Raw genomic sequence first — 23,065 nt, 5'->3', positions numbered from 1 at the left:
CCCCTCATGGACCTTTTGTTCGCTTTGTGGTACCCCAAGCTGACCCGAGGCACACCCTGGGCTCAAACCAGGGTCGTCAGGGTCCACCAGGCCCAGCATAGGGCCTGATGGGAAGGCACTTTCATCCGTGGGGGACCCAGGTCCCGCTTCTCTGAGACGCGGTCCTCTTTTTTTTTTTTCTGCCCCTGGTGCCTCACCTCTCCTCCCACAAACTTCAACTTCCACTCATGGGCCTTCTGTCCAAGTTGGGGTACCCCTAGTCGCCTGAGGCACACACTGGGCGTGAACCAGGGATGCCAGGGTCCCTGGGGCCCAGCGCAAGGGCTGATGGGAAAAAACTTTCATCCCTGGATGACCCAGACACCGCTTCGCGGCGCATTTTTTTTTCTTCTTTGCCCCAGGTGTCTCACCTTCCCCTCATGGGCCTTCTGCCTCTCTGCGCCTTTCGCCAGCGCTGTGGGCCTCTCTGCACCTGCGCCGGCGCTGTGCGCCTTTGCGAGGGCGGAGCTGCGTTCTTCCCAGCACAGACAAGGAGAGCATCGCCAGGGCGGAGCTGAGTTCTCCTCTGCACAGACTTCAGAGATACAGCGAAGGCGGAGCAGTGTTCTCCTCAGCACAGACCCAGGCGGGCCGGGGGCACTGCGAGGGCGGAGCTGCGTTCAGCTCAGCACAGACCCGGGGGACACCGCTAAGGCAGAGCAGCGTTCTCAGCACAGACCTTTGGGGCACTGCCTCGCTTTGGGACAACTCGGGACCGCATAGACGGTGAATAAAATCCTTCCCTTTTGCAGCCCTGAATAATCAGGGTCAGAGACCAGTTAGAAGGGCTCAGTGTGGAAAAGGGAAGCCAAAAGCCCCTCTGAATCCTACCCACCGAGGTTCTCCCCAGCCAAGCCGAGGCGGCCGCAGTGCGAGATCCACACCGCAGCCTCGGAAGACAAATGCAGCATTCCTAATGCAGACATGACACCCAAAATATGACACCCCCATTGCTCATGTAACAAGCACCTGTAATGCTAATGCACTGCCTCAATACAAAAATATTAATATAAGATCCGCAATCCCCTTGCTGCCATGCAGTCCTAAGACAGAGATCATAATAATCAACATTGACATAGTACAAACGTAGTAACGAACCTAGGGTTAAGGTTGGTGTTAGGGTTAGGGGTTAGGGGTTAAGTTTAGGGTTAGGGGTTGGAGATAGGGGTTGGGGTCAGAGTTAAGAGTTAAGAGTCAACGTTTAGAGTTAGAGGTTAGGAGAGGTTAGGGGTTAGGGATAAGGGGTTAGGGTTGGATTAGTGTGAGGGTGAGGGTTGGGGTTAGGGGTTAGGCTTAGGGTTTACGGTTAAGGGTTAGGGTTAGGGTCAGGGGTTAGGGGTCAGGGTCAGGGGTTAAGGATCAGGGACAGGGGTCAGGGTCAGTTTCAGGGGTCCCACTCTTTGAGTTGTCCATTTACTCTGCTGACAGTTCCCTTTGCCATGAAAAAGCTGTTTAGTTTAATTAAGTCCCAGCTATTTATCTTTGTTTTTATTGCATTTGCATTTGGGTTCTTGGTCATGAAATCCTTGCGTATGTCAATGTCTAGAAGGGTTTATCCAGTGTTCTCTTCTAGAATTTTTATAGTTCAGGAATTAGATTTAAGTTCTTAATCCATCTTGAGTAGATTTTTGTATAAGATGAGAGATGAGAATCCATTTTTATTCCCCTACATGTGGCTCGCCAATTATCCCAACAGCATGTGTTGAAAAGGGGGTCCTTTCCCCACTTTATGTTTTTGTTTGCTTTGTCGAAGATCAGTTGGCTGTAAGTATTTGGGTTAATTTCTGGGTTCTCTCTTCTGTTCCATTGGTCTATGTTCCTATTTTTAAACCAGTACGTTGGTGTTTTGGTAACTATGGCCTTATTGTACAGTTTGAAATCAAGTAGTGTGATACCTCCAGGTTCTTTTTGCTTAGGCTTGGTTTGGTTACATGGCTCTTTTTTGGTTCCATATTAATTTTAGAATTGTTTTTGTAATTCTGTGAAGAATGATGGTGGCATTCAGATGGGGATTGCATTGAATTTGTAGATTGCCTTTAACAGAATGGTAATTTTCACAATATTGGTTCTACCCATCCATGAGCATGGGGATGCGTTTCCATTTGTGTGTGTCATCTATGATTTCTTTTCTTTCGTTTTTTTTTTTTTTTTTTTCCAGAGGGAGTTTCGCTCTTGTCGCTGAGGTGGGAGTGCAATGGTGTGATCTCGGCTCACTACAACTTCTGCCTCCCGGGTTGAAGCGATTCTCCTGCCTCAGCTTCCCGAGTAGCTCGGATTATAGGCATGTGCCACCGTGCTTGGCTCCATCTATGATTTCTTTCAGTAGTGTTTTGTAATTTTCATTGTAGCTGTCCTTTGATTTCTTTGCTAGGTATATTCCTAAGTTTTGTTTTTTTTGTTGTTGTTGTTTGTCGCAGCTATTGTAAAAGGGGTTGAGTTCTTGATGTGATTCTCTGCTTGGTAGCTGTTGATGTATGGAAGAGCTACTGATTTGTGTCCATTAATCTTGTATCTGGAAACTTTGCTGAATTGTTTTATCAGTTCTAGGAGGTTTCTAGAGGAGTCCGTAGGGTTTTCTAGGCAAAAGATTATATCATCAGCAACAAGTGACAGTTTGACTTCCTCTTTACAGATTTGGATTTCCTCTATTTCCTTCTTTTGTCTGATTGCTCTGGCTAGGACTTCCAGTACTATGTTGAAGAGGAGTGGTGAGAGTAGGCTCCTCATCTTGTTCCAGTTCTCAAAGGGAATGCTTTCACCGTTTCCCCATTCAGTATTATGTTGGCTGTGGGTTTGTCATAGATGGCTTTTATTACATTAAGGTATGTCGCTTGTATGCCTATTTTGCTGAGAGCTTTAATCATAAAGCAATGCTAGATTTTGTCAAATGTTTTTTTCTGCGCCTGTTGATATAATTATATTAGATTTTTTTAATTCTGTTTATTTGGTGTATCACACTTATTGACTTGCATATGTGAAACCACTCCTATATCATTGGTATAAAACCCACTTGATCATGCTGGATTATTTTTTGATATGTTGTCGGATTCAGTTAGATAGTATTTTGTTAAGGATTTTGGCATCTGCATTCATCAAGGATATTGGTCTGTAGTTTTCTTTTTTGGTTATGTCCTTCCATGGTTTTGGTATTAGAGTGATGCTGGCTTCATAGAATGAATAAGGGAGGGTTTCTTCTTTCTCTGTTTTGTGGAATAGTATGAAAAAATTGGTATCATTTCTTCCTTGAATGAAAGAAGACATTCTTTGAATGTCTGGTAGAATTCTGCTGTGAATCTGTCTGGCCCTCAGCTTTTTTTGCTGGTAATTTTAAAATTACCATTTCAATCTTGCTGCTTGCTTTATTGGTCTGCTTGGGGTATCTAATTCTTCCTGATTTAAGCTAGGAGAGTTGTATTTTTCCAGGAATTTATCCAACTCTTCTAGGTTTTGTAGTTTATGTGCCAAAAGGTGTTCATAGTACCCTTGAATAATCTTTAATATTTCAGTGGTGTTAGTTGTAATATCCCGTTTCATTTCTTAGTGAGGTTATTTGGATTTTCTCTCTTCTTTTCTTGGTTAATCTTGCTAATGATCTATCAATTTTACTTATCTTTTCAAATAAGCAACTTTTTGTTTTATTTATGTTTTGTATTTGTTGTTGTTGTTGTTGTCGTTGTGTCAATTTCATTTAGTTCTGCTCTGATCTTTGTTATTTCCTGTGTTTGCTGGGATTGGGTTTGGCTTGTTCCTGCTTCTCTAGTTCCCTGAGATGTGAACTTAGATTGTCTGTTTGTGCTCTTTCAGACTTTTTGATGTAGGTTTTTAGGACTACAAACTTTGCTCTTAGCAGTGCCTTTGCTGTATCCCAGAGGTCTTGATAGGTTGTGTCATCCAGTTCGAAGAAATTTTTTACATTTCCATCTTGATTTCATTTTTCACCCAATGCTCATTCTGTGAGGAACAACCAAATTGTTTTCCGCAGCAAGGGCATCATTTTCTATTCCTAGCAGCCAGATCATGAGGACTCCAACTTCTCCACCTCCTTAGCAACATTTATTTTCTGTGTCATTGTTATGAAAGCCTTACTTGTGGATGCAGAGTGGCATGAATGAAGTCAATTAACACGTTTATTACCTCACAGAATAGTCACCTTTTTGTGTGCATGGGTGGGATAAGAAAACTTAACTCTATCCCCTGTGACGGAATAGTGGCCATTCCAGCTGCTCCAGGCTCCAGCAGAGGAAGACCGGGGTATGTGGCCCCACCAGGGTGACCCTCAGGCCTGGCGCGCACGCATTCCAGAGGCCACCCAAACCATGCTCCGCCATCTGGGCGCCCAAGCTGCCGTCGCCCTCTGTGTGCAGGCAGCAGCTGCCTGGCAACCCCTGAGCCCGCTCGCGCTCCTAGCATCACAGAAGCAGGGCCACGTGTCCCAGTGGCTGCAGCCAAGCCAGGCATTCTGCCCTGCGACAGCAGCTGCACAGGAGCGAGAACTGAGAACCCACCGCTCAACCCCACACGAGGTGACTGCCGAGTGCCCATACAAACGGCTCCGATCTCCCTCAGGTGGAGGAGTGGGCGGGAGGCACGGCCTGGGGGCCCTCAGGCTGGGCGCGCTGGCGATCCCAAGGCCGACCAGGCCATGCACCTCCAGCCCGCCTGGGCACCCGAGCTGCAGCCGCCTTCTGCGTGCAGGCAGCAGCCTCCAGGCAACTCCCGAGCCCGCCCACACTCCCCACATCTCGGAAGCAGGGCCAAATGTCCCTGTGGCTGTGGCCAAGCCAGGCGGTCTCTCCTGCAGCAGCTGCACAGGGGCGGGAACCGGCCCTCAGCCCCATTCCCGGTGGCTGTAGAGGGCCCCTGGATAGAGATCTGGAGCTCTGACAGAGGAGGAGCCGGGCCGGGGCAGGGTCTGGCAGGCTCTCAGGCCAGGGGCACCTGTGATCCAGAGGCGGCCCAGGGCATGCTCCACCACCTGTGCACCCAGCTACAGGCGCCGGACGACTCCCAAGCTGGCTGCCACGCCCAGCCTCGCAGAACCGAGGCTAGATGTCGCCGTGGCTGCGACCAAGCCAGGCGGTCTTCCCAGGGGTGGCTGCACCGGGGCAGGAACCGACCCTCAGCCCCATCCCCGGTGGCTGCAGACGGACCCTGGGGCGGCCCCGATCTCTCTTCGGAGGAGGAGAGGGGCGGGAGTCACGGCCAGGCGGGCCCTCAGGCGGGAAGGAATGCGCGCCTGCGATTCCGGGACGTCCCGCGCCAGCCCAGGAAAACCCGCAAGCCAGCGACGCCTGTTTCTCTGTGTGATTCTTTGAGGAACCACCAAACTGTTTTCCACAGCAAGTGCATCATTTTCTATTCCTAGCAGCCAGTTCATGAGGGCTCCAGTTTCTCCACCTCCTTAGCAACATTGATTTTCTGTGTCGTTGTTATGAAAGCCTTACTAGTGGATGCAAAGTGGCATCTCATTTGGGTTTTGCCTTGCATTTTATTAATGAATAATGGTGTTTAGCATCTTTTCTTTTCCTTCTTAGACATTTGTGTATCTTCTTTGGAGAAACGTCTGTTCAAGTCCTTTGCCTATTTTTTAATTGGGATCTTAGAAATTCTGTTGTTGAGTTGTGGGATATTAAGCTTTTATCAGATACACATTTTGATTTTATCAGATACATATTTTCTCACATATTATGGGTTGTCTTTTCACTCCCTTGATAGTATCCTTTGATGCATAAAGGGTTTTTTATTTTGATTAAATCTAATTTTCGTGTATTTTCTTTTGTTATCTGTGCTTTTCTGTCATATTTCAAAATACACTTAAAACTCAAAGGTCATAAAGGTTTACCGTGTGTTTTCTTCTAAGAGTTACATATTTTTAGTCCTTACATTTAAGTCTTTTATTAATTTAGAATTAATTTTTGTATATACTGCAATGTAGGGGTCTAACTTCTCTCTTGTGCACTGATATCCAGCTGTTGAAGAAACTGTTCTTTCCTCCCTTGACTAGACTTGGCCACCTTGTTGAACAGTCATTGACCATATATGTGAGGACTAACTTGTAGGATCTCAAATCTGTTCTGTTGTATTGGTCTGAAAGTCTATTGGTCTTATTCCAGTACCACACTCTCTTGATTACTGTAGATTTGTAGTAGGCTGTGAAACTGAAAAATGTGAGTTTTCCAATGTTCTTTTTCAAGACTGTTTTGTCTGTCAGATCCTTTGAATTTTTGTATGATTTTAGAATGAGTTTCTTTGTTTCTGCAAAAATGCCTTTGGGATTTTGATGGTATTGCATTGAATCTGTAGATTACTTTAGATGGTATTGTCATCTTAACAATATTGTCTTACAACCCGTGAACACAGAATGTCTTTCCACTTATTTCCACTCTCTTTAGTTTTTTGCAGCAATGTTTTGTGTATACCACCATGGTTAGATTTATGCCTCAATAACGTATTCTTTGGTGTCATTATAAATGGAATTTTTAAAATGTTTTCATAGTTCTTTACAACTATATAGAAATATAGCTCATTTGCCTATGTTTGTTTGCATCCTGCCTCTTTTATTAGTTATAATCGGTTTTGTGTTTTGTTTGGAGCTTTATAACCATAAGATCATGTGTAGATATAATTTTACACCTATTCTTTATTTCTAATTTAGATGCCTTTTATTTCTTTGTCTTACCTAATTGCTCTGGCTAGAACTGCCAGTGCTACGTTGAATACAAGTGGCAAATGCACCATCCTTTTCTTCTAGATGTTAGGAAAACAGCTTTCAGTGTTTCATCATTGATCATGATATTAACTGTTGGGTTTTTGTACATCCCATTGTCATGTTGCAGAAGATCCCTTCTATGCCTAGTTTATTGAGTATTTTTATTATAGAAGGGTGTTGTATTTCATCAATGTTTTCTCTGCATCAATTGAAATAGTCACGTGCTTATTCATTTTACTGTTACAGCATATTACACTGATTGATTTTTTATATGTTGAACCACCCTTGCATTTTGTGGATAAATCTCAAAGGGTGATAGTTTACAATCCTTTGATTATACAGAATTGCTGCTAGTATTTTGCTAGTATTGCTAGTATTTTGCTGAGATTTTTGCTTATATATTCATAAGGGATATAGTGCTGTATTTCTCTCTTTTGTGCTCCCTTTGTCTTTGGTATAAGGATAATGCTGTTATCAAAAAATGAATTAGCAAGTATTCCTTCTTCATATATTTTGTCAGAAGAGTTTGAGAAGAAATGATATTAATTCTTCTTTAAATGTTAGGTTGACTCACCAGTTAATGCAGCTATTTGGTCATAAATGTTTCTTTGTTAATCGCTTTCGATTACTAATTCAATCTCCTAGGTTATAGGTCTATTCAGATTTTCTCTTTCTTCTTGAGCCACTTTGGTAGTTTGTGTCTTTCTAGCGATTCATCCATTTCATCCAGGGCACCTAATTTGTTGCTAGACAGTTGTTCACAGTATACTCCTATAATCCTTTTGTATTTCTGTAAAGTTGGTAGTAATGGCTCTGCTTTCATTTATTATTTTAATAATTAGTCTTCCATCTTTTGCTCATTCAATATAGTGAAAGGCTTGATCTTTCAAAGAATCTACATTTTTTCATTCTACTGCTCTCCAACCTTCTATTTTATTGATTTATGCTCTAATTATGCTCTTTATTATTTCTTTCCTTCTGCTAGCTTTGGATTTAGTCTTCCACCTGGATTTATTTTGGGAGTGATATTGATGTAACTTCATGGAAATAATACTAGATAGAAAGTTAGTGGATAGATTCTCTATCTGATGAGAGTTTGGGGCAAGTCGAGTACCAGGTTACCAAGTTTTATTTTTTTCTCTGACCCAAAAAACAATTTGGCAGCCGGTGAGAAACTCTCACAGCTCTGGATGTGAGTTTAGGACCCTGCATTTCTACCTTTCAATTTCTTACTACTTTTTTGCACAGGGATCATGGCACAAGTTGCAGTTTCCACCCTGCCCATGGAAGATGAGGAGTCCATGGAAGATGAGGAGTCTGTTGAAGATTATTCCGTGGAGAGCAGGATGGTGGTGACATTTCTCATATCAGCTCTCGAGTCCACGGTGAGACCTTCTGTTCTAACATGATATAATTGGGTAGAACTGGGTGGTAGATAAGGTTGATTTGTTTTTGTAGAACTTATAATTTTATGATTTGTAGTTCTAATGAGTAGATCTTTTTCTGGAATAGTAGTTATGGTCAAACACTTCTAACCAAATGTGCCATGTTGTCCAGTCTGGTCTCAAAATATGGGGCTCAAGAGACCTGCCCACCTTGGCCTCCCAAAATACTGGGATTACAGGGGTAAGCCCCTGAATCTGGCCATATATTTTTCTTTTTATGGCTGAATAATACTCTGTGTATGTATATATTTCATTTTCTTTATCTATTCACCTACTGATGGGCATTAGGTTTGGGCTACCTTTTGGCCGCTGTGAATAATGCTGCTGTTAATCGGGTGTACAAATACCTGTTTGAGTCCCTGCTCTCAGTTCTTTTGGGTATATACGCTTAAAGGGTGTTGATGGATCATATAATTCATATTTTTGATTTTTCATATTTTTAAGGAGCTGCTAAACCATTTTCCACAGTGGGCTGTACCATTTTACATTCCAAAAAGCAATGCATACAGCTTCCAATTTCTCTATAGCATTGCTGACAGTTAATATTTTCTGTTTATGTATTGTATTTTTATAGTGTATGAAATTAATCTGAGGCTTTTTGCTGATACCAAAATATTAGGAAAGGTTTTCCAAAAATAATACTGCTTATTATAAAGGATTTTACGTGTTACTTGATGCCCTGTGATCTGTTTTCTAAGTAAGAAGAGGAACTTCTTGGCTGGGCACAGCGGCTCATGCCTGTAATCCTAGCACTTTTGGAGGCCGAGGTGGGTAGTTCACCTAAGGTCAGGAGTTCAAGACCAGCCTGGCCAACATAGTGAAACCCAGTCTCCACTAAAAAAAAAAAAAAAAAATTAGCTGGGTGTGGTGGGGGGTGCCTCTAACCCCAGGTATTTGGAAGGCTGAGGAAGAGAATTGATTAAACCCATAAGGCAGAGGTTACAGTAACCGAGATTGCACCACTGCAGCCCAGCCTGTGTGACAGAGCGAGAGTCCATCTCAAAAAAATAAAAGGAAAGAAAGAAGAGGAACTTCTCTCCATCCAGCCTCATTCCACTGCACCAACTCTTCTGTGTCGTGTTGTGCAAGGGAGAAAGGGAGCTTGGCAACTCTTTGCTGTGTTGAGTTGTGGTAGCCCATCACTGGGTTGTAAAGTGCCTTGCCTCCTTTCCTCCCCTCCTTTTTTTTGAGACAGAGTCTCACTCTGTCGTCCAGGCTGAGGTGCAGTGGTGCGATCTCTGCTCACTGCAACCTCAGCCTCCTGGGTTCAAGTGATTCTCCTGCCTCAGCCTCCCAAGAAGCTGGGACTACAGGCACATGCCACCACACCTGGCTAACTTTTTTTATTTTTAGTAGAGACAGGGTATCACCATGTTGTCCAGGCTTGTCTTGAACTCCTGACTTCAGGTGATCCACCCACCTTGGCCTCCCAAAGTGCTGGGGTTAAAGGCATGAGACACTGCGCCCGTCCACCTCCTCTTTTACTTGGGAGAAATGCACAGATTCTGGGTGCCATGTGCATTTGTTTTGGGAGTGATAATTGATCTAACTTATGGAAATAACACTAGATAGTTAGCGGATGGATTCTGTATCTGATGAGAGTTTTGGACAAAATGAATTCCTAGTTTCTGAGTCTTATTTTTCCCCTGATTCAAGAAAACTGTGAATTATCCAGCCAGTAAAAAACTCTCACAGCTCTGGATGTGAGTTTAGGACACTGGATTTCTACCACTCATTTTCTTACTACTTTTCTTGTGCAAGGATCATGGCACAAGTTGCAGTTTCCACCCTGCCCATTGAAGATGAGGAGTCTGTTGAAGATGAGGAGTCCTTGGAGAGCAGGATGGTGGTGACATTCCTGTCAGCTCTCGACTCCATGGTCAGACCTTCTGTTCTCACATTCTGTATTTCAGTAGGACTGGGCGGTAGATAAGGTTGATTTGTTTTTGTAGAACTTACAATTTTGTGATTTTTAGTTCTAATGAGAAGACCTTTTTCGTGAATAGTAGTTACGGTCAAACACCTCTGACCAAATGTGCATGTGGAGTTTCTACACTGATTTTCAGACAATCTGGATCCCAACTGGGTATCCCACAATTCTATCCTGACACTCCCTGGAGTTAGTGCAGACCCCGCAGGAGGGGCGCTCAGTCCCAGGAGTCTACTCTCACTCCACATGCCAATTGCAAGTCTTGGGTTGTTACATGTAGTTTTGACCAACCAGTTAGAAAACAAGGTTTAATGACCCTCATTGGTGGGTGGAATCATTTGCTCGGACAGCTTGCAGAACTCAGAAAAACAGATTGTTTTCTTTTTTTTCTGAGATACAGGGTCTCAGTCTGTTGCCAGGCTGGAATGCAGTGGTGTGATCAAAGCTCACTGTAGCATGGGACTCCTGGGCTCAAGTGATCCTCCCACCTCAGCCTCCCAAATAGCTGAGATTATAGGCCTGTACCAGCATATCTGGCTATGTTCTTTTACTTTTTGTAGAGATGGGGTCTTGTTATGTTGCCCAGGCTGGTCTCAAATTTCTGGGCTCACGTGATCCTCCCACCTCAACTTCACAAAATGCTGGGATTATGGGCATGAACCACTGCATCTCACCAATTTACTTTCTTTTACTGGTTCATTTTAAAGGCTAAATCTCAGGATGTTGTCAGACTCCTGGCCTCAAGTGATCATTCTGCCTCAGCTTCCCAAAGTGCTTGGATTATATGTAGGTGGGAGCCACCTGTGTTCAATGCCCATTTTCTTTTTCTTTCTTTCTTTTGGAGACGGACTCTTACTCTGTCATGCAGGCTGGAATGCAGTGGTGTGATCTCAGCTGACTGCAACCTCCACCTCCCTGGTTCAAGCAACTCCCCTGCCTCAGCCTCCAGACTAGCTGGAATTACAGGCCCATGTCACCACTCTCAGCTAATATTTTTGTATTTTTAGTAGAGACAGAGTTTCAGTATGTTGGCCAGACTGGTCTCGAACTCCTGAAATCAGGCAATCCACCCACCTTGGCCTCCCAGTGTGCTGAGATCAGAGGCGTGAGTCACCACGCCATGCCCAGCCATTTTTAAAATAATAACGTTATTGAAATATGGTTAACGTATCATGCAATTCATTTATCAAAGTACGCAATTCAGGCCAGGTGCAGTGGCTAATTCCTATAACGCTAAGACTTTGGGCAGCTGAGGCAGGTGGATCGCTTGTGTTCAGGAGTTTGCGACTAGCCTGGGCAACATGGCAAAACAGCATCTCTAGCAAAAATACAAAAATTAGCTGGATGTGGTGGCTCATGCCTGTAGTCCCAACTACTTGGGGACATGAGACTGGAAGATCACTTGAGCCCAGAAGCCATAGGTTGCAGTGAGACCAGATGGCACCACTGCACTACAGCATGGGTGACAAAAGGAGACCCTGTCTTTAAATAACTAAAGAAAAAAAGAAAGTATACAATTGAGTGGTTTTTAGAATATTCAAGGAGCTGTGCAGTATACATACAGATGGATAATTGTATAAATAAGTACAGATGTGTATAAATGTGTGAGTATACATACATATATTTTCTAGCTCCTCTAACAAAAGGGCCTAGAAACAACATCATCCCAGTAACAATGAGAACACCATTCTCCAATTAAAGGAACCAAGGCTCCTTGGGGACATATTTGATATCAGGATTGGCCAGGGAAAATACAACATTAGTTTGAAATATTTTGTCATGTTAGGAAGTAAGGAAATGCTCACAAAATGGGGAAAATGTGAAAGGGAAACAGATCCATTTTGAATAAACTTCCATAGCCAAATTTGAGAAAATTGGGGCAATAAAATAGATAACAATAGTAATATATTACAATCTACAGAAGAAAATTTTCAATTAATCCAGGCCAGGTGCGGTTGCTGATGCCTGTATTCCCAGAACTTTGGAAGGCAGAGGCGGGCAGGTCACTTGAGGTCAGGAGTTCGAGACCAGCCTGACCAATGTGGTGAATCCCTGCCTCTACTAAAAATACAAAAATTAGCCGGGCATGGTGGCCCATGCCTGTAGTCCCAGCTACTCTGGAGGCTGAGGCAGGAGAATGGCTTGAATCCCGGAAGGTGGAAGTGCAGTGAGCGGAAATCGCACCATTGCACAACAGCCTGGATGACAAAACAAGACTCCAACTAAAAAAAAATCCATATTGACATAAATAATAAACCAAAGATTGAGAATGGGTAGTATTTATTACAGTAAAATTTCATTAAATGTAGGAGACATAAAATATAAGAATCATCACTTTGCAAATATCACAGTAATAATTGTTGCAAGAAAGAACCTTGGAGGGATGCTAAGATTAGTGGTGAATATATGTTGGGAAAGAACATATTTGCATAATATGAAAGTATCTTCCCACAACATAATTATAGAATAGTAACTTCAAAGTGGAGATGTCAACTTAGCCAAGTGATCAAAGTTAACGTTACTAATAATAAGATAAATGAACTTCATGTAACTTCTTATATGATGCACTGAGTAGGACAAAACATCAATTCTATGGTATTCTTAGACAAAATGTATAACTTTAGTCCTAACCGTGAGAAAACATCAGACTAACTGAAATTGAGGAGGGACATTCTACAAAATAACTGCCAGTATTCATCAAAAGCATTTTAGAAAGACTGAGGAATTCTCCAGAGACATGGAGGCATGTTATCTAAGTGCAATGGAGAACATGCATTGTATCATGAACCAGAGATGGACAACAGTAGGATATGTACAATAACACCCCAACATTTGAACATTAAACAAAATACTTCAGAAAAACCCATTGGCCAAGAAAAGTTTCACACACAAAAAAAAAAATAGTTTAAACTGAAAGAAAATTTTTTAAAAACTTAATAAAATGTGGGATGCAGATAAATCTTTTCTTAAAGGTACATTTATAGATGTAATATACTGAAAATAAAAGGCTTCAATCAATGACCTTTAGGTTCTTTTTTAAGAGGCTAAAAAATGAGCAAAGTATATCCAAATTAAGAAGAAGGAAGATGATAAAGATAAAAATGTAAACCAACAACATAGCAAATAACAAAAGGTGGAGCTAATTAATATACCCACAAATTGGTTCTTTGAAAAAAATTTTTTTAATAAACAATGGCTAGCAAGATTTATCTCGAAAAAATTTAGAGAAGCTACATAATGTAGATAATGGGAATTAAATAGAAGATGTAACTACAGAACCTACAGACATCAATATAATTATGAAAACTTTAGGCCAATACATTTGACAATTAAAATAACATGGGAAATTATTTGTAAAACTAATTCTTAAAACTGATGCAAAATGAAATAGAAAAAGTAATAGCTTCTCTATGTATTGAAGAATTTTTTTTAATTTAAAAAGATTTCTATACTTACAGGCTACATGCTTTCTTAGGTGAATTCTATCAAACATTTAAGAAAGTACAGAGAGTCCTCAACTTACAGTGGTTTGACTTGTGCTCTTCTGACTTGATAATGGTGCTTTCATCTGTGTACATTAATGATGAGCATCAATATGACCAGTTTTTCACTATCAGTGTAGTTTTCAATAAATTTCATGAGATACTGAATATTTTAAAATGGGTCTTGTGGTAGATGATTTTGCCCAATTGTAGGATAATGTAAGTGTTCTGAGCAAGTTTAAGGTAGGCGAGGCTAAGTCATGATATTCAGTAGGTTAAATATATTAAATGCGTTTTAGACTTACAATATTTTCAATTTAGGATGAGTTCATTAAGACATAAGACAATTGTAAGTTAAGGAATATCTATAATATCAATCTTGAACGGACTCTTTTTAAGAAATAGAATTTAAGGGCCAGGCACAGTGGCTCACACATGTAATCCCAGCACTTTGGGAGGCCAAGACTGGCAGATCACCTGGGGTCAGGAGTTTGAGACCAACCTGACCAGCAAGGAGAAACCCCCGTCTCTACTAAAAGTACATAATTAGCAGGGTGTGGTGGCGCTTACCTGTAATCCCAGCTCCTTGGGAGACAGAGGCAGGAGAATAGCTTGAATCTGGGAGGCAGAGATTGTGGAGAGCCTAAATTGTGCCATTGCACTCCAGCCTGGGCAACAAGAGTGAATCTCCGTCTCAAAAAAAAAAAAAAAAAAAAAAGAAAATTTAAAGGGACATTTCCTATCTTATTTTATGAACCCAGTATTGCCGATTCCAAATCGAGACAAAGGCATTATACAACTTTGATGTTTATCCCTCATAAACATAGACTCAAAAGTCCTTAAAACATAATAACCAATTGAATGTAGCAGTACATAGAATGGATAATAAACTGTGAACAAATTAATTTTCTAGCAAGATTGCAAAGTTAATTTATTATTTGAAAGATCAGTTTAATCAATTTTATTCACCTGGATGGTTACATCTGGCAAAACTCAGCAAACTGTGCACTTTAAAATAGTATTTATTTTATGTAAATTATGTTTCAATACAATGGATTTAAAAAAAAAAAACTTTTCCCAGAGTGATCAAAGTTGAGGGCAGGGAACAGTAAACATCAGTGCTTATGTTATAGCTACTAGAAGCCTCCCAATTCCAACGACATGCTTTCAAGCAGGTCTGATCCTTCCCCTGGAGGATACCTCTGACCCAGGTGTGCTACAAATGCATTGCCCCTAGTTGCTTCTGTCACCTTAGTGATGGAAGTGACAACAGGTTACTGGAGAAAGAAAAGGTGTACAGGGTTCCAAATATACATTCTATTTCCAAAGGACATTTGTGAAGCCAGTGGAAAGCGAACAAACAAGCTGCTAAATAAGTCACAAGTGTGTTCTCATACAGTTTTGCGATTAACTAAATAGGACATTCAACAGATAAAATTTGTTTTACATAGTTACTCCTCTAATAGGATGAACTTGTGGATTGTGAGATAGAGCTGATATAACCTGTTTTCTCTCTGCCTCTTTTTTTTCCCCCAAGTTTTGTGTGCAATACATTAGGAAAAATATAATTGGGCTACAAAGCTACAAAAATGGCTTCCTGGCAGTTCCATGCTTGTTTCCATGTGGTGCCTATATTTGGCACTGTGTTCTCATTTGCACTTTCCTGCTTGATTAGTTAATGTATGAAGGACAAGCCTGATCTCTACTGTGAATTTTTACCAAGGTATTCTAGTAGAAAAATGAGTATGTAATGGTGCTGTGGCATGCTAAAGTGTGTAAAACATTAAGAATCTAAAAATATGCTGATTTCCAAGTTTTGTCCCAGAGCAACTGTGCACTCTGATTATATCGCTACTGCTATTTAAAGTTATCCATTTGCATGTCTAAAAAATAGATTCATACTGATTGTCCCATTTTGATCTCAAAAAACTCCGGAATATGAGAGTCGTGATCAAGGGACGCTTCATGAAATGTTCCAAAGTTAAAGTGTGCAATGAAACCAGATTTATCATAGCCTTATTTAAAATAATTATTTCTAAAATTGTTATTGTTTAATTATAAACGGTATCCTTTCAGGATACTTGGAAGATCCATAGCAGTGCTTTTATTTTCACAGAACAAGCATAAATTATTTATGAAATAATAACTCAGATACAGAGATTACTTCCTATTGGCCTTACATATGAATATAAATAAATACATATTATGAACATGAGCATACTTATTTTATAATTATGTAAATGTGTGTGTAATGTTATATATAAGTTCAATAAAGTCATGCTTATACATGGTTTCAATTCATGCTTCTAAAAACCACTCAATGTAGTCATTATCATATGTTAATAAATAATCTCTGAAAATGTGCTTCTAGTAGTTTCACAATATCCCATCATAAAGATTGTCATGCTGTTTTTAAGTCATACTTTTGGGTATATAAGTTATATCTGATATTTTTCTGCTACATATATACTATTATAAATCTATTAGTAGCTGATTTTTTGTCAACACATATGATTGTTTCCTCATAGTACAAGAGTTGGTTGTAACTTTATTTCCTTCCAACATTTATTTTAGGTTCAGCGGGTACATGTGCAGGTTTATTATATGGGTAAAATGTGTGTCAATGGGATTTGGTGTACAGATTAGGTAGTCATCCAGGTAGTGAACGTAATATCTAATAGGGAGTTTTTTGATCCTCACTCTCCACCAACCCTCCACCCACAGTAGACCTTGTGTCTATTGTTCCCTTCTCTGTGTCCATGTGGACTCAATGTTTAGCCCCCACTTATAAGTGAGAACATGCAGTGTTTGTTTGGTTTTCTGTTCCTTCATTAATTCACTTAGAATAATGGTCTCCAGCTCCATTCATGTTGCTGCAAAAGACATTATTTCATCCTATTTTATAGGTGTGTAGTATTCCATGGTGTATGTACGCTGCATTTTTTTAATCCAGTCTTCTGTTAACAGGCATCTAAGTTGATTCCGTGTCTTTGCTATTGTGAATAGTGTTATAATGAAAATATGCGTGCATATGTCTATGACAGAATGATTTATATTCCTTTGGGTATATACCCAATAATGGGATTGCTGGGTTGAATGGTAGTTCTGTTTTAAGTTATTTCAGAAATCTCCAAACTGCTTTCCACAATGGCTGAACAAATTTACATTCCTGATGAAACTGGAGACTTCCCTGACTCCCCTTGGCAGGATGTGCAACAGGGGTGTGGCTTGTCTGGCCACCGTGTGTGCTGTCAAACCCCTTACTGGGCAGGGGAGCATGCAGACAGGCAGGTGCAATAGGCAGGGCAAGTGGCCATGGTACTGTCTAGGGGTGGGTTCCTGCGACTCCCACAGCCCAAGTGGGCATGTGTTACAGTGCACTCTTTTAGCTTTGCCATCCACAGACGGCTTAAGTGTTAACCTGTTCAGTGCCCTCTTGGTACCCAGTTCCTTGTCCAGCATCCAGAAAGAATTAAGTTGCACACAGACTTGAGGATGGTGAATGTGGGGGTTTTATTGAGTGGTGGAGGTGGCACTCAATGGGATGGATGGGGAGCTGGAAAGGGGATGGAATGGGAAGATGATCTTCCCCCGGAGCTTTGCCATCCAGAGGCTGATCTCTCCAACCACTGCCAGCCAAACTCCTCTAGGCATTCAGATGCTCCTTCTCTTCTTTCTGCCACATCATTCTGCAATTCTGCTCTTCTGTTCATCTCCTCATCTGCTTGCCATCCAGAGGCTGATCTCTACAACCACTGCCAGCCAAACTCCTCTTGGCATTCAGATGCTCCTTCTCTTCTTTCTGCCACATCATTCTGCAATTCTGCTCTTCTGTTCATCTCCTCATCTGCTTGTCTGCTTCTGGAGCCTGGGGTCTGGGGCATATATGGGTACAGGACAGGGGGTGCATGGTGAGCTGAAAGACAACTTTTGGGTGCAAAAGCAGGAATGCCTGTTCCCATTTAGGGCCATGGGTTTCCAGGCTTGTGGGCAGGGCTTTGCCAGGGAACCACTCTCTTCTACCCAGTATTTCCCTGTCTCCTTTCTATATCACCACCAGCAGTGTATAAGCATTCCCTTTTTTCCACAAACTCGGCACCGTCTGTTATGTTTTGATTTTTTAATAATAGCCATTCTGGCCGGTGTGATATGGTATCTCATGGTTCTGATTTTCTGATGATTAGTGATGTTGAGTATTTTTTCATACGGTTGTTTGCCATACATACGTTGTATTTTGAAAAAAGAATTCACAGACGGCTTAAGTGTTAACCCTTTCAGTGCCCTCTTGGTATCCAAGTCCTTGTCCAGCATTCAGAAAGAAGTTGCACATGGACTTGAGGATGGTGAATGTGGGGGCTCATGTTCTTTGCCTATTTGTAGTGGGTTTGTTTTTTGCTTATTGATTCTTTATACATGCTAAGTATTAGACCTTTTTCAGATATGTAATTTGAAAATATTTTCTTCTGTTCTGTAGGGTGTTCTCTGTTGATAGTTTCTTTTGCTGTGCTGAAGCTCTTTAGTTTCATTAGGTCCCACTCATCAATTCTTCTTGTTGCAATTGCTTTTGGAATCTTCATCATGAAATATTTGCCTGCGTCTATGTCCAGAATGATATTTCCTAAGTTTTCTTCTAGGGTTTATATAGTTTTGGGTCTTACATAAGTCCTTCATCCATCTTGAGTTGATTTTTTTATATGGTGAAAGGAAGGGAGTGTACATGCCCCTGTGATATTGTTCCTAATATCCAGGTTGGGAGAGGATATTATACTCAATATTGCAGGAAGTGTCGACCACCCTGAATATTGCTTTTAATATCCGGGGAGAGAGGGTGATATTACTCCCAATATCATCCTCTCCCCCCACACCCTGCATAGTACAAGCAATATCAAAGGGGGTCTGTGCAACACCTGCAATATTGGGAGTAATATCCTCCCCCAACATGGATATTAGAAACAGTATCACAAGGGGTTGTACACCACCTGTGATATTATGGAGTACTATCATTTTCTTTCCCCATGGATATGTAGAACAATATCACAAAGGTGGTGTACAACCCCTGCCATATTGGGAGTAATACTGTACTTTCCCCACCTAGATATTAGGAACAATATCACGGGGGGTTATACACCACTGCAACATTGGGAGTAATATCATCCTTTCCCTCCCTGGATATTAGGAACAATACCTCATGGGTGTGTACACCCTGTTCCATATTGGGATTAATATTTTCTCCCTTGCTGGACATAAGGAAAAATATAACGGGGGGTATACACTCCTTATGATATTGCCAGTAATATTATAGACTTCCCAAAGGGATATTAGAAAAAGTATCAGAGAGGGGTGTACATCCCCTGCGATATTGGGAATAATATTCTTTCATCCCTGGATATTAGGAATAATATCACAAAGGGGTTTTATACCCCCCGTGACATTTTAATTAATATCATCTTCCCCACTGAATATTAGGAACAAATTCCCAGGGGTGGTACACCACCTGCAATATGGACAGCTATATCATTGTCTCTCCCCCGAATATAAGGAACAATATCACAAGGGGGTTGTACAACCCCTGTGATATTGGGAGTAACTTTATACCCTTTCCACATGGATATTAGGAACAATATCACAGGGTGGGTGTACACCCACTGCGATATTGGGAGTAATATCATCCTCCACCCCCTGGGTATTATGAACAATATCATGGGGAGGGGGTGTATGCCCTCTGTGATATTGGGAGTAATATCATCCTGTCCCCTCTGGATATTAGGAATGATATCACAGCGGGGCTGTACCTTTTCTGCACTATTGGGAGTGGTATCACCCCCTCCCCCTATGGATATTAGGAACAATATCACAAAGGGGGTGTACACATCCTGTGATATTGAGAGTAATATTGTTCACTCTTCCCTGGGATATTAGGAACAATATCACAGGCAGAGTGTACACCCCCTGCTATTTTACCTGTAATATTATTCTCATCCAACTTGGATATTAGGAATAATATAACAGGAGGGGTGTACACCACCTGTGATATTGGGAGTAATATCATTCTCTCCCCCCATGGATATTGAGAACATTATCACAGGGGCGGTTTACACTTCCTGCGCCATTTAGAGTAATATCATCCTTTTCCCCCATGGATATTAGGAACGATATCGCATGGGAAGTGTACACGCCCGCCATATTGGGAGTAATATTTTCTCCCTTGCTGGACATTAGGAACAATATCACGGGAATGCACACACCCTGCGATATTGCCAGTAATATTGTAGTCTCCTCCCAGGATATTAGGAACAATATCACAAGGGGGGTGTACATGCCCTGTGATATTGGAAGTAATATCATCGACTCCCCCCACGGATATTAGTAACAACATCAGAAGGGGTGTACACCCCTTGTGATATTTATAGTACTATCATCCTATACCCCCTGGATATTAGGAACAATACAACGGAGGGGTGTATACCCACTGTGATATTGGGAGTAATTTCATCCTCTACCCCTTGGATGTTAGGAGCAGTATCACAAGGGGGGTGTCCACCCTCTGTGATATTAAAAATAATACCATTCTCTCCTTCTCTGGATACTAGGAATAATATCACAGTGCTGGTGTGCACCCTTTACACTATTTGGAGCAATATCACCCTCTCCCCAACTTGATATTAGAGACAATATCATGGGGGGTGGCGTGTAACACCCTGCACTGTTGGGAGTACTATCATCTATTCTTCCCCTGGATATAAGAAACAGTATCACAGAAGGGGTCTACACCTCCTGAGATTTTGGGAGTAATATCATCCTCTCCAAATCTGGATATTAAGAACAGTATAATGGGGTGTAGGGAGTAATATGGTGGGAGTAATACAATCCTCCTCCCCACTTGATATTAGGAACAATATCGCAAAACGTGTGTACACCCACTGTGACATTTGGAGTAATATCAACATTTCCCCACCTGGTATCACGGGGAGAGTGTACACTCCTTATGATATTGGAAGTATCATTGTCTCTCACTCTCGATATTAGGAAAAATAGCACAGGGTGTGTATACACTTCCTGTGATTTTGGGAAGAACATCATACCCTTCTGTCTTTGATATTAGGAACAATATCACAGAGGGGATGTACAACTTATGTGATATTATAATATTCTTTCTTCCCATGGATATTAGGAATGATATCCCGGGGGGCTTGTTGTACACCCCCTGTGATACGGACAGTAATATCATTGTCCTTCCCCCTACATATTAGAAACAATATCACAAGGGTGGTATACATCCCCTGGATATTAGAAACTATCACAGGGGGGCTGTACAACCTCTTTGATACTGTGAGTAATGCCATTGTCTCCCCTCCTGGGTATTAATAACAATATCATAGGGTGGGTGTACACCCCCTGCAATATTGGGAATAATATCATCCTGTCTTCCCCGGGATATTAGGAATGGTATCACAGGTGGGGTTTACACCCCCTGCAATTTTGTCAGTAATATTACTCCTGGATGTTATTGAATATATCACAGTGGGGGTGTACACCCCCTGTGATATGGGGAGTAATAGCATCCTCTTTCCCACTGGATACTACAAACAATATCGCAGATTGTGTACAACGTCCTGTGATATTGTTCACAATATTTAGGGAAGGAGAGGATGATATTACTCCACATATCACAGGGAGTGTTACATCCCCTGTAATATTGTTCATAATATTTAGAAGACGACAGGATGATATTACTCCCAATATAGTAGGAAGTATACACTACCCTGTGATACTGTTCATAATTTTTAGGGGATTAGAGGATGATATTACTTCCAATATCACAGGGAGTGTACACTGGTGATATTGTTTATAATTTTCAGTGGATTAGAAGATATTATTCCGAATATCACAGGGGTTGTACATCCCCAAGTGATATTGTTAATATCCAGTGGGGAAGAGGATGTTATTACTCCCCATATCACGGGGGATGTAAACCCGTTTGTGGTATTGTCACTTACATCCGGGGGGTAGAGGATGATATTACTCTGCATATCATAGAGGGTGCACACGGCTGTAATGTTGTCCATAATAACATCCAGAGAGGAAGAGAATATTATTCCCATGTTTCAGAAGGTGTACACACCCCTGTGATAGTCTCTGTAACATTTAGGGAAGAAGGGGATGATACTACTCCAGATATTGCAGGGGGTGTACACCCCCCTGTGATACTGTTCGTAACGTTTAGGGGGAAGAGGATGATATTACTCCCCATATCGAAGGGATTGTACATCTCCCTATATATTGTCCATAACATCCAGGACAGGAGAGGATATTACTACTCCCCATATCACAGGGGGTGGACAACCCCCTCTAAATATGTCTAACATCCAGGCGGGGACAGGAGGATATTTTTCCCCATAACCTAGAGAAAGTAAACCTCCTGCGATTTTGTCCATAACATCCAGTGGGGAGAGGATGATATCACTCCCCATATTGCAGGGGGTGCACACTCCACTCTGATATTGGCCGTAATATCCGGGGGGGTGAAGTATGAAGTCACTACACATATCGCAGGGATTATTAGTATCAGATTGTTTGAAGGACTCACAGTAAGGGTAGTAGTAGGGCGAGTTCTAACTCAAATAGGGGAAATGTGATGGCTACTAGAAAGAATTTTATGGAGAAGGGAATGTGGGCAGAGGATAGAGGGTCAAATCTGCATTCATAAGGGCTAGACTTTTCTATATATATTTATTTTATACATATATATATATTTTTATCTCTCTCTACATATATATATTAAGTTGTGGGAGCCAAAATGTAATAATTATTAGTAACAGGGCTAATAGGGTGTTGATTACTAGGGTTAATGTTAGGTGAATTACTGTTTTTCGGATGCTATCAAAACTTTGGAAATCATGGTACTATTTATACTAAAAGAGTAAGATCCTCATCAATAAGTAGAAACATACAAGAATAGTCATACTACATCTACAAAGTGTCGATATCAGGCAGCGGCTTCAAAGGCAAAGTGATGACTAGATGTAAAGTGGTATTTTAATTGGCGGAGAAGGCAGACTGAGGAATGTTGATCCAATAATGACGTGAATTCTGTGAAAGCCTGTAGCTATAAAAAATGTTGAGCCATAAATACCATCAGAAATAGCAAAGGGAGCTTTGAAGTATTCTGAGACTTGTAGGAGGGTGAAGTAAATATCTAATATAATTGTAACAGGTAGTGCTTAGATTGTATGTTTTTGATTATTTTTTGTTAGGCTGTGATGGGCTCAAGTAATTGAAACTCCTGATGCAAGTAATACAGATGGATTCAGGAGAGGTACTTCCAGGGGGTCAAGGGGAGAAATACCTGTTGGGGGTCAATGCCCTCCTAATTCTGGAGTAGGGGCTAGGCTAGAATGGTAGAATGCTCAAAAGAATCCAGCAAAGAGGAATATTTCTGAGATAATAAATAGGACTGTCC

General features: G+C 41.3%; 1 protein-coding gene and 1 pseudogene across 1 annotated transcript in view; both read left to right on the top strand.

Annotated features, from left to right (window-relative positions):
• The first annotated feature begins 683 nt into the window (after window positions 1-683).
• LOC105379417 (putative ankyrin repeat domain-containing protein 20A2) overlaps window positions 684-23,065 on the top strand; it is a 39,693-nt gene continuing 17,311 nt past the window's right edge. The window contains exons 1-2 of the mRNA XM_017030104.2: window positions 684-765; window positions 7,997-8,133. Coding sequence (XP_016885593.1) covers window positions 8,002-8,133 — 132 coding nt within the window. The 5' untranslated portion in view covers window positions 684-765; window positions 7,997-8,001. The remainder of the gene's footprint in view (window positions 766-7,996; window positions 8,134-23,065) is intronic.
• Window positions 3,810-5,584, top strand: LOC107987360 (translation initiation factor IF-2-like; annotated as a pseudogene).

Source organism: Homo sapiens, unplaced genomic scaffold (genome assembly GCF_000001405.40).
Source record: "Homo sapiens unplaced genomic scaffold, GRCh38.p14 Primary Assembly HSCHRUN_RANDOM_CTG4".
Taxonomy (NCBI): Eukaryota; Metazoa; Chordata; class Mammalia; order Primates; family Hominidae; genus Homo; species Homo sapiens.
Note: the sequence above shows the minus strand (reverse complement) of the source record. Positions and strands in the feature narration are given on the sequence as shown.